At 44.8% G+C, this 15454-nt stretch overlaps 1 protein-coding gene across 1 annotated transcript in view, besides 1 other annotated feature; it reads left to right on the forward strand.

The window, feature by feature from the left end:
* Positions 1–15454, forward strand: part of WWC3 (WWC family member 3) — a 129221-nt gene that overhangs the window by 78457 nt on the left and 35310 nt on the right. The window contains 2 exon segments of the mRNA NM_015691.5: positions 422–571; positions 4796–4869. Of these exon segments, the coding sequence (NP_056506.3) occupies positions 422–571; positions 4796–4869 (224 nt within the window).
* Positions 4674–4723: an enhancer, noted in NCBI's record as "active region_29407". NCBI's record gives its function as "activates an Ori minimal core promoter by ATAC-STARR-seq in GM12878 lymphoblastoid cells {active_cell/tissue: GM12878}" and the evidence as "EXISTENCE:reporter gene assay evidence [ECO:0000049][PMID:35858748]".

A 15454-nucleotide genomic window follows, 5' to 3' on the forward strand; every position in this document is an offset into this window, starting at 1 on the left:
AGAAATACGTAAGCATTGTCTGGGAGCTGTTTTCCCCTTCCCTGTTTTTCCTCTGTAACAATCTCAAGGCAGCATTCATCTCTGTCAGGCTCATTTACATTTTCGATAGAAATACTTATTTTTTTCTTTAGGAAACATGAAGGTTTAAGAACCAGTAAAAATGGTACCATAATTGTCCTCTATTTTATTCACATGCTGCCAGGGGGACTTAGTTGCGATGTGATTTAAATGACTAAGAATTTTATTAGAGGTGCCTGTGATGAAGGGCATTTATGTGAAATCTAACGAGCATGGGGGTGAGGTGGGGCAACTGTTCAGTAATAAATAATGCAGCAGACCTAAAACAAATGAGAGAACCACTTCTGGAGGGAAGAGACACATCACCATCTCCGTTCAAAGAGCTTGTCTCATTGTGTTCCAGAGCCTGGCCAAGCTGACCGATAGCTTCAAGAACAGCTGCTCCGTTACCGACTCTCTAGTGGACTTCCCTCACCATGTAGGCGTGCCTGGCGATGCTGGTGTACCCCAGCAGTTCTGCGATGCCGGCTCCCAGACTGATATCATCGGGGAGGTATATGCGCGCCCAGGGGGAGAAATGCACCGGGAGAGGGGAGGGCTGCTTCAGTGTTGCCATCACTGGTTTGGTGTAATTTTCCATGTTCACTTAAGAAATGCCTTCACTTTTGTGCCATTAAGTTTGAAGAAAAAGTGTTGTGTCTCACATCCAGCTGTGTGATACAATTGAATTGCTTATTACTGCTGCCCTTATGATTTGGACTCTTATAAATGACATACTCCTTGTGAGAGTTGAGTTTCACTGTTCTTTTGACAGACATATCACTTTTTAGAGCATGAGTCCCCACGCTTTTTCTGTGAAGGGCCAGATAGTAAATATAGTCACTATTTTAGGCTTTGCAGGTAGTTCTGCTGGAACTGCCCCACCCTGTCATTGTAGTGTACATGCAGCCATAACAGAGATGCCTTGCAAGCATGTAAGACTGGGGCCTCGAGCTGCTCAAACGTTCACTTACGGAACAGCCAGTGGGCTGGATTTGGCCCCAGGGCCATAGTTACTGATTCCTGCCTTAGACCACTGATTTCCAAAGGCTTTATAGCTGTGCCACCTTGGGTGTTACTTTATTGCTGTTTCTTACTCTTCTAAAAGAATGTCAGGAAATTGAATTGAACTAAAAGTCATTTTTGTTTGAGACTTGGAAGAATGTCATAATGCCTCCTTTGTTAATTAGCGAAGCCTTGAGTTAGCCACAAAAACAAAGTTGGGAAAATCACCATTTGAAGCAGGATGGTGGATATTCAAAGACGCTAGTATTGTAATATCATTGAGTGAAGCTTGACATTAATTTGTTACCAAATGGAAAAACAGTTTAAAGAGCTTCTTTTTTTTTTTTTAAGGATTATTAAGTAAAGATGAGGTATCAATGGAATGCACAGTGCCACCCCTCCCCCGAAATTAAATAAATAAAAGGAAAGCAACAAAAGGAGGAAAAAACAATTGATGGAAAACTCTGGGTTTTAAATAATTAGCTAATTAATATTTTGAAATCTTAGCAACTAGTGCCTCTTCGAGTGGAGTATAATGTAGGAAATCACGGCCCTTTATGTCTTGGGTGTCCTGGAACAGTCCTATTTTCAAATTTGCCTGCGTTGTTCCAAACGTACACTTGGCCGTTTTTGACTAGGCATCTTCTTTGGATGAAAGAATATGGTCGCCATCTGTAACACACAGAGGAGAATCTGTAATTCAAAAATGTTTGGCATTTTTGCGTAAAGATTTTGGAGCGAGAGAAGGAAACAAGTGTAAGACTCATTGAATTCGTGAATAATTCATTGCTGCTTATTGTAAGGTTAGAATTAGAATTTAGTTTGAGAGAAACAGTTAAGATAGAAGGTTCTCCAGTGATTTAGGTCAACCCTTCTAAAAATGTCAGGTGAGGAGTGGTGGCTGGTTATGCTACTTGAGCAGTCACTGCTCATTGTTGATAAGCTCCTGAAGTTTACCGGGGCTGACCCTAGGTCAGCAATCTCATAGCTGTTATCTCAGTTTAAGTAGTTGTTCCCATCCTGTGTGATGTGCAGGAGACCGAGATGCCAGGTTACCTAAGGTCTTGTAGCTGAGGAGAGGCAGGTCTGGTTTTGAAACATTTCTCATCCCTAAACCCCTGTACTTTCTAAGAAACCACATCATGTTATAGAAAAATAGATCAAAAGGCTATGACTGTATTAGCTAACCATTGCTGCATAACAGATTTCCCCAAAACCTAGCCTCTTACAACAACACTCCTTTATTATCTCATGCTTGATGTGGTCCAGGAGACTGGGCTGGGTCTTCTGCTCCAGGGTCTCTCAGGAACTTCCCTGCAATCAAGGTGTCAGCCAGGACTGTGGTCTCATCCAAAAGCTCACCTGGGGGAGGGGCCACTCTTAAGCTCATGTGATTGTTGGCAGGATTCAGTTCCTCACAGGTTGCTGGACTGAGGGCTTCAGTTCCTTGCCACATGGGCTGCTCCAGCACGGCAGCCTGCTTCGTCAAAGTGTACCAGCTGAGAGTCTGCTAGCAAGATGGAAGTCACAGTCTTTTGTAACCTATTCACAGAAATGACTTCCCATCACCTTTGTTCTGTTCTATTGGTTAGAGTCAAGTTATAGACCCAGTTTATTCTCAGGGGGAGGGAATTTCACACGGGGAGAATCCCAGGAGGTGTTGGTCATTAGGGGCCTTCTTAGAAGTCTGCCTACCTCACTTTGTGCTTGTGTTGAGTCTGTTTTGTGGGGTGGATATTGCTGTATGTCAGATGTGCTTTTTGAGACTGGAGATTTGCAGCCACAGGGTTGCACACGCTGTAGCGCTGCATAGGAACTCTGAAGCAGGAGTCTCTTGGATCCATTTGGCTGTCTTTTCTTTTCACTAAAATGTCCATTTAATTCTCAAAGAAGAGTACAGAAACAAAGCTTAGAGAGAGGTGCATACAGCTTTGAGAAGAGGTTTGAGAGATGATGTTTACTGATCTTGATGAGTTGATTGCAGGGTCACTAATAAAGAGGGGACTGAAATGGCAAGTAGCTCATCTCCACTGTGGACAGCTTTTGGAGCTGTGGCACTGCCACTTAAATATATTTATACTGAGGAAGCTGGAGAGGAGCATTGGATGAGGCCGTTTAAACATGTATAATTGTGGCCAGGCACAGTGGCTCATGCTTGTAATCCTAGCACTTTGGGAGGCTGAGGTGGCCAGAGGTGGCCAGATTGCTTGAGCCCATGAGTTGAAGACCAGTCTGGGCAACATGGCTGGGCAACCACCTGGGCGTGGTGGCTCATGCCTGTAGTCCCAGCTACTTGGGAGGCTGAGGCAGGAGGATCGCTTGAGCCCAAGGGGTTGAGGCTGCAGTGAGCTGTGATTGTGCCACTGCACTCTAGTCTGAGCAATAGTGCGAGACCCTGTCTCAAAAAAAGAAACCATGAACAATTGTCATTCTGGTTGGAGAATGCTCAGTCCCTTGTAAGGCACTTTTTCATCTTGCCATTCAAGGCAATAAATTTGCGAAGACATTTTTCATCAACATAGATCAAAACTCGTGTCGATAAATTCACTGCTAATCATTCAAGTTGAATATTTTCAGATACTTGTTGATGGGAAGTTATTTCAAAAATGTAAAGACTTGGTGGCCATAATATGTGATCTAGTAAGGTCAGATCAACAGATGGAGCTGATTTATTGAAACTGGAGTTGTGTGAATATTTGCAGGAATGAGGAATTAACCAAAATGTACTACAGTTACTTCCTGTACATGTCTTTTTTTGTTTTGTGTAGGATTTTATTGTCATCAATGTAACTGGTACAAAAATATTTAAGTATATCTACTCGTCACAGAGCACCGCATTTAGGCTAACTCTATATTGGTACTCCCCGAGCTCTGGCTTTTTGAGACCTTGCTTGCTTTCCTTTTGCCCTTGGTTCTTTTTTTTTTTTTTTTTTTGAGACGGAGTCTTGCTCTGTCGCCCAGGCTGAAGTGCAGTGGCTCAGTCTCGGCTCACTGCAAGCTCCGCCTCCTGGGTTCATGCCATTCTCCTGCCTCAGCCTCCCGAGTAGCTGCGACTACAGGCGCCTGCCACTACGCCCGACTAATTTTTTGTATTTTTAGTAGAGGCGGGGTTTCACCGTGTTAGCCAGGATGGTCTCGATCTCCTGACCTCGTAATCCGCCCGCCTCAGACTCCCAAAGTGCTGGGATTACAGGCGTGAGCCACCGCGCCTGGCTTGCCCTTGGTTCTTTAACACACCTCGTGGCATCAGAAGGCGTCCACCAGCCCATCCGTCACACAGCTAGTCCAGCTTCCTCAGACCGTGGAGCTTCTGAGTAGAACATCATTATTTTACGTTTACTGAGGAATTAGAGAATGTACTGCACAAAATCGGGTGACTGGTTTTTGCCTTTGTATCAACTTTTACTAAGTAATTTCCTACTTCTTTTAAAACCTAATTTGTGGTTGTTGTTTGGAATTACAGAATAGATAGATATGCTGCTGCTGTAAAAAAAAACAAAAAACCCTACCAGTTTAGGCAAGCAAGAGTCTTCCCTTCCCCCTCCCCCCTCCCCAGCCAGGGGTGGCCGCAAAGGGTTATTCAGTGTTTCCTTCCAGACCTTGCACAGATTGAAAGTGAAAGAGATGAAGAATATTTCTCATTGCTGCCGAAAGTTTAAGTGAAGTTGCTATTTTGGAAATATGTTTTTAATATGCGTTTCCTTTCTTTTTTTCTCTCTTCTGTTCCGGAAAGTTTGTCTTTGATGATAAAACAAGACTTGTAGACCGAGTCAGACTTAATTGGCAATATGAAGAAGCCAGAAAGAGGTAAGAAGCACTTTTTTCCAACCTCGCCTTCTGCTTACTTACTTACTTTCTCCTGTGGAAGGAAGCGTGGCATAGTTCCTGTGTGTGATTGGTCACGTCTCATCGGAGAACAGCGTTTGATAGAATACCAAGTCAAGGATCTTCATTTACGTGTAGCTTAATACATACATATGACAACATTTCAAGTGCATTTAAAATGTGAAATTTGCAATATTACAAACAGTTATACAGACGTGATTCCATAAGAATAGAAACTTTTTTGGCTTTGTCATCCCCGGTGGTTCAGAACCTCTACCCCTCCTTCCCTTCCCTCCTTCCAATAGACGAGCATCAGTTCCAGAGGGTGTCATAAGTGAAACCACTTGATCTTTTATATGTGTGGCTTCTAACTCCATAAGCTAATGGGCAAAGCCATGTATCTTGGTTATAAGACATTCAATAAGCATTAGGTCAACAGGTGAGCAGTACCTAATTGATTTCATTCCATTTATGTTGTCCTGTGTCGTAAACCATTGGCCTCCTGCAAATTGCAGCTTGACCCACTTTGTGCACTTGTGTTTCTCTTTCCTCACTTCCCTCCCTCCCTTCCAGTCTTCATCCTCTGACATGCACAAAGCTGAGAGGCTTCCGAACCCTCGCATGGCATAGTATTTTAGGGCGTCACGTGTCTCCTCAGCTGTGCAGGGCTCCCGTTTTCAATATTCTTCTCCTCTCTGACTTTTGTATTCTCTTTTTAGGGACTTTCTCTAGTTTGTGCCTTCTGGAAAGAGTCTTAAAGCCAAATTATTTCCAAATAAGTGCTTCAGAAGAGTATCAAGCATATCTTTTTTAAAAAGTTACTTGAGTCACAAATGAAATATTGTCATGGGGGGCGGGGAGAGCAGAATAGCAGAATGTCGGGTGGGGTGAGGGAGTTCTTTCTGGAAGCTAAACAGTTAGGCCTGCTCAGCACACTGTACCATTCATGGACGTCTGGAAAGCTACTTTGTTGGCTTTTTAAAAAATGTAAAAATAGCAACAAAAGCACATCATATGATTCAGTGCTCCAGGGCCAACTTAAACGGACATGGGCCTTCTGTTTTCTAGGAGGTTTTCTAACCAGTGCCTCTTGGCTTTTTAGGATGGACTCGTGGTGGGCTTTAAATTTCCCCACAGAACAGTGCCAAGTTCATTTGGCAATACCAGTTGTCTGTGTGGTGATTCTTCATTATCATGCATATTCCTTCTCTGTAGCCTGCAAGAGTTTGTGAGGAGCGATTGTCTCTTCTGAGTATTCGTCTGCTCTTGCCTGTTTCTGGTGAAACTGCGGAGTGTGGGTGCTGGAATTTGCTACACTTAGGAACATGATTGTTACGTGTTTGGTTGTGACATTTACCAAACATAGCAAGTGATTTCTTTGTTTTCTAGAGATGGTGCCAGTATATGGTGAGTAACCTTCTAAATGTTGGGATAATACATTTGGGTGAAAAGTCGAGTATTTAAGAAAATTGTTCAAGGGGCAGGCATGGTACTTCATCAGTTCTTTTGAATAAAATACCATATTATTTCAAGATGGCCAGAACCTTGTTAGGAAACGCACCACAGCTACAGAGGAAGGTCCACCTTCCACTGACAGTAGCGGCATGTCAGAAGTGCCTCTGTGGGCTGTGTTGGAGCATTTAAAAATCAGAGATTTCTTTTAAACTCCACCTGGGTGGGCCTGCACAGGTGCTGCCTGTCCTTTTCCCACTAGCATAGTGGGGCTCCACACAGGGAGCAAGGCCTTCACCCTCCAGGAGACCTCCAGCAGTGTCTGCAGACATGTTTAGGTGTCCCAACTCTAGGGCAGGGGCCAGGGAGGCTGCTTGACATCCTGTTGTGTACAGGATGGCCCCCGCAGCAAAGACTTACCCGGCTCAGCATGGCCGCGGTGCCAAGGTCCAGAAACCTCGCCCTGGGGCTTCTTCCTGTCTTGCTCCTGAATCTTCACGATGCATGGACAACAAGGGGCCTACATGAGCAGGTCGCCTGCTGACTCACAGGCATCAGCCTGCTCCCCACTCACCCTGCTCCAGCCAATCGGCCCCTCGATGTTCCTCAGATGTACAAGCACGCCTGCACTGAGCAGCCCCTCGGGCCTCCCACCGGGCCTCAGTCCCACCGAGCCAACTCCTGACCTAGCATCTGCAGCTGGCAGAATGATGGTCCGTCAAGGTGTCTGCATCCTGATCTCCACAGCCTGTGAAGATGTGGCTTTCCATGGCAAAAGGGACTTCGTGGATGTAATTAAATTAGGGATCCTGAGATGATGGGGAAATGAGCCTATATGATCCAGGTGGGCTCAGTGTCATCACAAGAGTCCTCATAAGAGAGAGACAGGACGGTCGGCAGTAGAGAAGGAGATGTGAGGTTGGAATCAGAGATCAGAATAGTGTGGGGCCAGGAGCCAAGGAGCACGGGCAGCCCCTAGAAGCTGGAAGGTGCAAAGAAACAGATTTTCCCCTGGAACCTCCAGAAAGAACGCAGCCCTGTAGACCCATTTTCGACTTCTGCCCTCTAGAACTGTAAGGGAATAATAGGTGTTGCTTTAAGCCATTAAGCTTGTGGTAATTTGGGGCAGAAAAGAGCAAACTCATACAGTGCCCTTGGCCTGTTCTGTCTTCTCTGTCTGGAATGGGGTGGCTTTTCTCCAAATTGTCACATGACCTCTCCTTTTGATCACCTTGTTAAGAGAGGTTTCCTTGACCATCCTGAATAAAACCTCACCACCCTGTCCTCACCCCGGTCCCCCTGATTGGCTGAGCAAATGTTATTACCTAACCAGTGTTTACTTTTCTTACTGCCTGTCTCTCCCTGTGAAAATGTAAATAACCCTCATGAGTGCAGGGATTGTAGGTCATTGCTGTAAGCCCAGCAGCTACATACTTGGTGAATATTTATTGAATGAGTAAATGAGGGTCCCGTGTGGTTGCATTTGCTATTTGGCCTTTGCCCCTGGGACGGGGCAAGCCAGGGCAGTCCCGGGGCCAGGTCAGCTCCAGGCCAACTGCTCTGCTCCTGGGTCCCTTCCTCAAACCTCCATCCAGGTGTGAGCCTTGGGGTCTCTCGCCTTGACTTGAGAAGGGAAAGGGCTTCAAGACATGGGTGCCTTTAGGGATCTGAGGTAGGCAAGGAACTGTCTCTCCCTTTCAAGGACTATGTTCAAGGTGTGATACGTCAACACACCGAGCTAGACTAACAGTTCTGGGCCTTCATGGACATTCAAAAGGGCTACTAGCCTTTGAACTCCATAATTAATCCTCTCCTTGGGGGTTGGAGAAAATGGCATTGGAGTTGGGTCCTGAAGGAGTGCTGGGATTCCAGTCGCCGTCCATTGGGGATGGGCTTTCTCAGGTAAGAGTGGGGGTCAGGAGTGGGGGTAAGGTGTCACTCTGCAGCAGCTGGACTGGCCTGGAATTGCAGAGCAAAGGCCAGCCAGGCTGGAATGGAGGATGCATGAGCAGGGAGGCAGGCCACGGCATGGGGGCCACGATGCCCCGAAGAGGGGTCAGAATTGCTGGGCATGCTGGGACGTTTGAGTTGGAAAGATTAAGTGTGAGCCATTCAGATGGTGGTATGTGGAGGAGGGCCATTTGAGGAACCCAGATGGCATAGAGATGAAGTCACCGAGCAGCTGGGCTCACCTTGGGAGATGGAACACAGGGAGAAAAGAGGAGATGCCAGGACTGAGCCTGAGGAAGTCCAATCAAAGGCCTGGCGAGGACGAGACTGGCCAGAGGGGTGTAGTAAAAGGTCCGAGAGGGGATGGCTGGGGCTGGAGGAAACAAGAAGAGGAAGTACACCTGAGAAGACACTTATGTCCACGGGCCCAGTGGCTGTGAAGGAACGAAAAGGGGGTGGTACCGTTGGCCGACAGGCAGGCCTCTGCTTCCCAAGCCCAGCCTGAGGTGTCCTTAGTCCACAGTGCATGGGAAAAAGGAGGGCCAGCGGCAGGTGTTCCTAAAGCCAACTCGCTGCTTTCCAGTCAAAGAAGCCTCTCATTCTCAGAGATACATACATATGTACATACATACATATAAATATATATAATTAATATATGTTTTATATATATTTAATACATATTTATTGTATATTTTTATATATTATATTTATAATACGTGTTTAATATACATTTTTTCATATATATTTTTTTCTGTTAAAACATCTTTCTCTTAATTAACTAATGATGATCATTGATGTGAATTGGTTTTTTCCAAAAGTCTTTACTTGGCAAAATAACAAGCTGGCAGTCCTAAATTGTTGCCATCAGCACATCCCCTTTCTTAAATTGGACTGGCCTGGGGGAAGTGTGACTGAGATGGTGCTCTCCCTGGAATTAAAGGAGAAGGATGACCCTAAACAGGGTTTCCAGAGGCTCACAGTAAAGTGGAGGGTCATTTGAAAGGCAGATCTTGGTTTTGACCATGAGTTTGGTGTTTTCAGTGGACTTGAAGCTGCTGAGAAACATCCATGAAGTGTTCTTGTCGGTGGAGTCCGCAGTGGAGATTGCAGTTCGCTGAGTCATTGATTGCAGCTCCCTCCGGGCTCTGGTTCCCAGATGCGGCGGTGCACGTCTCCAGTCCCCTTGGTGTGATTGTTTCTGCCTCCAGTCATTCCACATTGGTTACTGTAGCTAAGGCTTGACCAGTAAGTGCATGCCTGCCATGTGAACTACTCAGCTGTAGGTCACATAACCCTTAGCAGCCTGGGCAAGGCCCTAGACTTTACATACCTTGTAGCGTTGTCAGGATAGTCTTGGCTCCCCTCTGCCCCATCCCTGTAGACAGATGGAAGGCTAGGAAGGGTTGATGTTATCAGGTCTCCCCAGCACCAGATGAGCGATTTCATTACAATGGTGTTTTCCGAGTGTTCTGATGGACTGCCTCTAAGTGAGGCACGAGAGTAGAACGATACAGACTTGGGGAGAGAGCAGTGGCAAGTGGTTCTCTGGCAAGAACTCAACATTAACATTCCAGGAGCCAGGTGCTGAGTACCACAGGCAAAGCATGGTGGCTTTGAGGTCCCGTCCATGGTCTCTTCCTCGGCCCCCTTGATCAGGCTGGGAGATAATGTCTCTGATATCCCTGTGAGCGTCCCTGGAGAAGTGGTGTGCCATGAGCAGGAAGGCATCATGTACCCCCATCAACCCACCAAAGCATGAAAAAGAACACGTTGCTCTTAGTGGCAGTGTTAGCAAAGAATAATGCGTTCTTCCCTGCTCCCTCATTCCAAGCCTAAGGGACATCATGTGCCCTTTCCTCTTGCCCAGGTGAACTTCTATTAGATTAGTGCCACAATTCAGTGTCGTCTTTTCGTTCTGCTACTTCGCCGTTGGACATTAATCTCCCAGCTCTCATTCCTGAAATCATTTCACCCTGCAAGCTTACCTTCCCTACTGTATTAGGTTCTGCAGAGAAACAGAACCAACAAGAGTAGGGGTAGGGAAGAGAAGGGAGAGAGATTATTTTATTATAGGAATTGGCTCACGCAATTATGGAGGCCAGGAAGTCCCACCATCTGCAAGCCGGAGACCCAGGAAAGCCAGTGGTCTCATTCAGTCCAAGTCTGAAGGCCTGAGAACTGGGGGTGGGGTGGGGTGTGGAGTGGGGTGGGTGGGTGGGTGGTCATAGTGTAAGTCCCAGAGTCTGAAGGCCTGAGAACCAGGAGCTTTGGTGTCTGAGGGCAGAAGGTGGATGTCCCAGCTCAAGAAGACAGACAGAATTCACCCTTCCTCCACCCTTTTGCTCTATTCAGTCCCTCAATGAATTGGATGGTGCCCACCCACATTGGTGAGGGTGGATCTTCTTTGCTCAGTCCACTGATTCAAATGCTTATCTCTTCCAGAAATTCCTTCCCAGACACACTCAGAGATAATGTTTGTACCAGCTATCTGGGCAAGCTTTAGCCCAGGCAAGTTGACACACAAAGTAAACCATCATGTATATCCTCTGCAGAACCTCCTGTGCTTTGCCACTTCTGAACAGTGGAGGATTTTATGCCTTAGGCATTTTGGACGTCTTTCCTTGCACATATATATTTGAGATTATTTTTAAGATGTGGGAAATTGTCAAAAATGCCGAATTCTGGACAATGAGGGATTTCATATATATATATACATTCAGATTTTTTTTCTTTCCTTTTTTTTTTTTTTTTTTTGAAGACAGGGTCTCGCTCTGTCACCCAGGCTGGAGTGCTGGAGTGCTGGAGTGCTGGAGTACAGTGGCGTGATCTTGACTCACTACAACCTCTGCCTCCTGGGTTTAAGCGATTCTTGTGTCTCAGCCTCCTGAGTAGCTGGGATTACAGGCACGTGCCACCATGCCTGGCTAATTTTTGTATTTTTAGTAGAGACGGGGTTTCACCATGTTGGCCAAGGCTGGTCTCGAACTCCTGACCTCAAGTGATCCACCCACCTCAGCCTTCCAAAGTACTGGGATTACAGGTGTGAGCCACCCCACTCAGCTGGATTTCATATATATTCAGATTTAAAGGAAGTTTGTGGAAGTGGAACTCATAATTCTGAGTGGTGATGTGATTTCTAGAGAATTCTCTGGCCAAACGACCACTATCATGATGACTAGTTTTGTGTTTTTAACTGTGGGTCCTGTGAAGCGTACCAAAAGGACTGCTTGCACCTTGCCTCAGGAGCGCCTCTTCGGATTCCCAAGGCAGACCTAATGATAGGAATATTCACACTATTGATTTTAAAATTTCAGAAATTTTAAAAGTGAAGTTGAAAGAGCAAGTCTTCTTGAAGCAATCCCGATGACGCAGATGGCTCCTTATTTTTAACTTAAGGGCGCTTGTTCCAGAACTGTGCACAAACTGTAGCTGTTACCATAGAAACACTCTCAGTCCAGATAGGAACAAAACATTCGGTCCATCCAGTTTCTCTGCCTCTTAGTTTTTGTTGCCAGGATCAGTCCTGCTGTTCATCAGTTGTCGAGGATCAGTGTAGTGTTATGATTCCAGTTGAATTTGATCAATCACTTGGATTTTTTCATTTCTCAAATGACTTCCTATCTGGGTTTTAGGGGTGGGGCACAGTTGTGAGAAATAAGGAAAAGCATCTTTGCCACTGTGGCTCTGTCTTCCCTATTCTGGTCAACACGGAGAAGCCTGTAGACTCACTGCTTTTTATTTGATGAAGTTGCTCTCTGAAGATCTGTCTGTTGCAAAGGGAGAAGATGTCAGGGCTGGGAAGCTGAGGACGGGGTGAGATATTGGTGTATTAGTAGACCTTTCTTATCCCACATATTCTAGATTCAGACTTCTCAAACTTCTGACATAAAGAGTTGAGTAGAATGGACGCTGGTTTAGTTCAATCAGCTGAAGTGATTTCATTGTCCATCTGACTTACATCTCAGCTGTTTTCTTTAACCTTTGCTTTTTATTTAAATGGGTATTTACAACAAGAAAACTAAGAGAAAATGTAAGGAGTATCGAACCTGTAGCCGTAATTGCAATCTGAAGGTATGAGGCTCTAAGCTGACCCCGCGTCCTGGAATGTGCCATTGGGATCCCTCACGACTCATCACCATGGGATAGGACCGTGGGCTGTCCAGAGTTCTGCTTGCTATTCCAGAAAGCAGCAGGATTTTAGGACCATGAGAAATGATATTGTAGACTGCAGATTTTTGGTATAAATTCAAATAATTAGGGATTATTCTTGATATGCCTCAGAACTTTTTATTATTGAAAGTGCATTGTTTTCCTATAAAAATGCAAATCGTATTTAAGATTTTCATGTGAATTGTGAGAGTCTAAATAGTTTCTGCGGCATAAATGCATGGTTTAATGGTGCCTGGGTTGTAACAGAAAAGTGTTTGAGCAAAAATCATAAGGGAAAAATGATTCATATTTTATGTCTGTCTACATTAGACCTGCTCAGGGAATAGAATTTGGGAAACACATAATAAATAAGAAACCTGCATGCTTGATTGAACATTTGCTTTCTTCACTATCAGGACACGGGGGCATATATTTTAAGGCTTTTAAAGGCATTTGGGAGAGATTTTATATAGGCCATAAAATGCATTACCCCTCAAAAATAAAAATCACTGAAGAATATAGTTGGCTCACAGAAAAAAAAAAAAATCCTCTCTAATTTTAAGCTGCTATTAGTTCTCTTTACAAAAAACTCGGGAAAGTTATTTTGTTTTGCAAACTTTAACCATGACCTTGCTTTACTTCCATGTATTTAATTTCACTGAAATGATATTTCAAAGAAAAGCCTTTCTGGAAATTGTTTTTCCTTTAATACCCAAAATTGGAACAACAGCACTCACAGGAGCGAGGCTCCAACCAGTGGATCAGCTGTTTGGCGTGGATGTAGAAGAAGGTGCATTGAAACTCAGTACATCTGTGTTTAGCCTTAGGCAGGAAGTCTGTTTCTTCAAGTAAACCTAACGTACTAAAGATACTCCCTGCAGATGGCTCGTTTCCGGCCCACGGCAAGGTAGACAAGTCATACGGTTTTAAAGGCAAAGCCGTCTTGTCTGTCTCATGGGGACATAAGAACAATCGATTGTTGAAGGAATCCTAGTGCTTTTGGCTTCCAGTACAGACAGACAGACAGATGTGCCTCTCTCGACCTTGCTGAAGCAGGCCCCAAATGTTCACACCTAGAACATGGGGACAAAGAAAGAAATTGAACTTTTCAATATGTTCCAGTTTCTTCTAGATTCATATATAGCTCTGAAATGAAGATGAGATTGTTTGCATTGTTGCATTGTTTTGAAATTTTATTATTAAACCCCACAATTGGAAGGCACAGAAATGTTTGCCTAGCATTCAGCACAGCCCAAACATTTCCAGATGGGTTGCAGATTTTGTTTCTGCTGGAGAGGTCGTCCCTTGCCGTTTGTCCTTGCATATTTTTCCTGCCAGCTGTGGGAAGTGACAGGACATGGTTTAATTTGGGCTGCTGTTCTGTTTCTTTATGCCTGCAGCAGACAGGTCTTTTGAAACTCACCCTTTGCCTCTCCTCCCTCCTATAATTCATTTTTTTCCTCATTCTTTTTTTCCTGACAGTGCATATTACTTGAGATTTTCCTGGAAAGGTTGTGATTATCTGGAATTGGATCTTCCGCCACCTTCAACAGCTTGAATCCTTGTAGGCTAGCAGCTAACCTAGAGCTGGCAGACTCAAATGGAATCTTGATCTCTTCATATTTAAGGCTCAGAAAACTCAAAAGGAGTGTTCTGTAAAATACTTCTGTTTATATTATATGTATGGTAATTAGTATGAGTATAAAATGGTCGGGCAAAATTTAGCTGGGCTCAGACTTTCCTGTGGATCAGATAAATGGAAATGAAAAAAAGTATGAGGACACAGATTTGCTGATTGTTCTTCATCTTTTATATTTATTTCTTAACTTGTCTTGGTCTACTGTAGAATGTTCCAGAAATGTCATTGGGTATAATGTCTGATTTAGCACTGACTTATTTGTGGGTTTGCTTGGAGTGTATTTTCCTTGGGCTTTGGATATATGACTGCCATAAATTTTAATTACACTAATTAGACGTAGGTGGATGCTTAAGCCCAGTTGGAGTCCTAGCCCTGTTCAGCTGCCTCTGTCATTAGTTTTTCTGGTGACATGGTTTGGCACCATCTTCCAACACGTTTTCCAGACATTAGTTTTAAGTTAGAAAATAACTTGTCTAATAAAGCTACTGACATTCAACTAGTGTCTTTACCTTGTTGAAGTGGACTTGAGTAAAATGCATACATTTAAACTGTAACTTGTGTACCCGTTTCTTTCCTTAACTGTGGGCTTTCAGATTCGTTTGGTGGCTAGAGAGGGAGTCATGCCCGATCCTCATGAGTCCATGTGCTCGTGTCTAGTTTAGGTGGAGCCTGACTTGGCACAAGGCTGGGTGGCAGGTTTTAACATGTGTGGCAATGCTAGTCAATTGGGGATATCCACATGGCTCATAGTGTAGAGAAGGCTTCTGAGGTCTAGACCCAGCAGGTGGGAAGCCAGCCTTGGTTAGTGCCGTGGACCGCGGGCACAGGAGGAGGCAGTCTCAGGAGCACCTCTGCCCTGCATCTCCCTCGGAGGATATAGGGCCACGTGTGCCTGCCACTTCCCTGTTCTCACAGCTCTTTGTGATCTCAGAGAAGCCTCTGGATTTTGTTTTTGGGCGAGTATGCCAACTATGTCCTCCACAGCATGGGGTTCAGGTTGAGTTTGCCATTCCTAGTTTCTCCCTAGAAACATATCCCTGATCTTTAACCCTACTTAAAGGGCTTAAAACATTCTACTCTTACTTTTAAAGGATGCTTTAAAAATACAGGCCACATCTGTTTCACTTAATCTGCATTCAACAGCACCTCATGACACAAAAAGTAATGCAGTCTGTTTGCCAAGCAAGCACTTGGAAATTTCGAGGCATGGAAACTGATAGGAGCCTCTGTTTTTCCACCTTGAGGATTGTTGCGCTTTGCATCCACCCAGATCATCTCTCACCAGCATCCATGCTCACAGGGCTGCCTCTCTTCCTCTCACATATTTGCAGGCGTGTTTGTTCACTGTTCAATGCACTCAGCTTTTGTCGAGTGCCC

The sequence above is a fragment of the Homo sapiens genome, chromosome X, assembly GCF_000001405.40.
Source record: "Homo sapiens chromosome X, GRCh38.p14 Primary Assembly".
Lineage (NCBI taxonomy): Eukaryota > Metazoa > Chordata > Mammalia > Primates > Hominidae > Homo > Homo sapiens.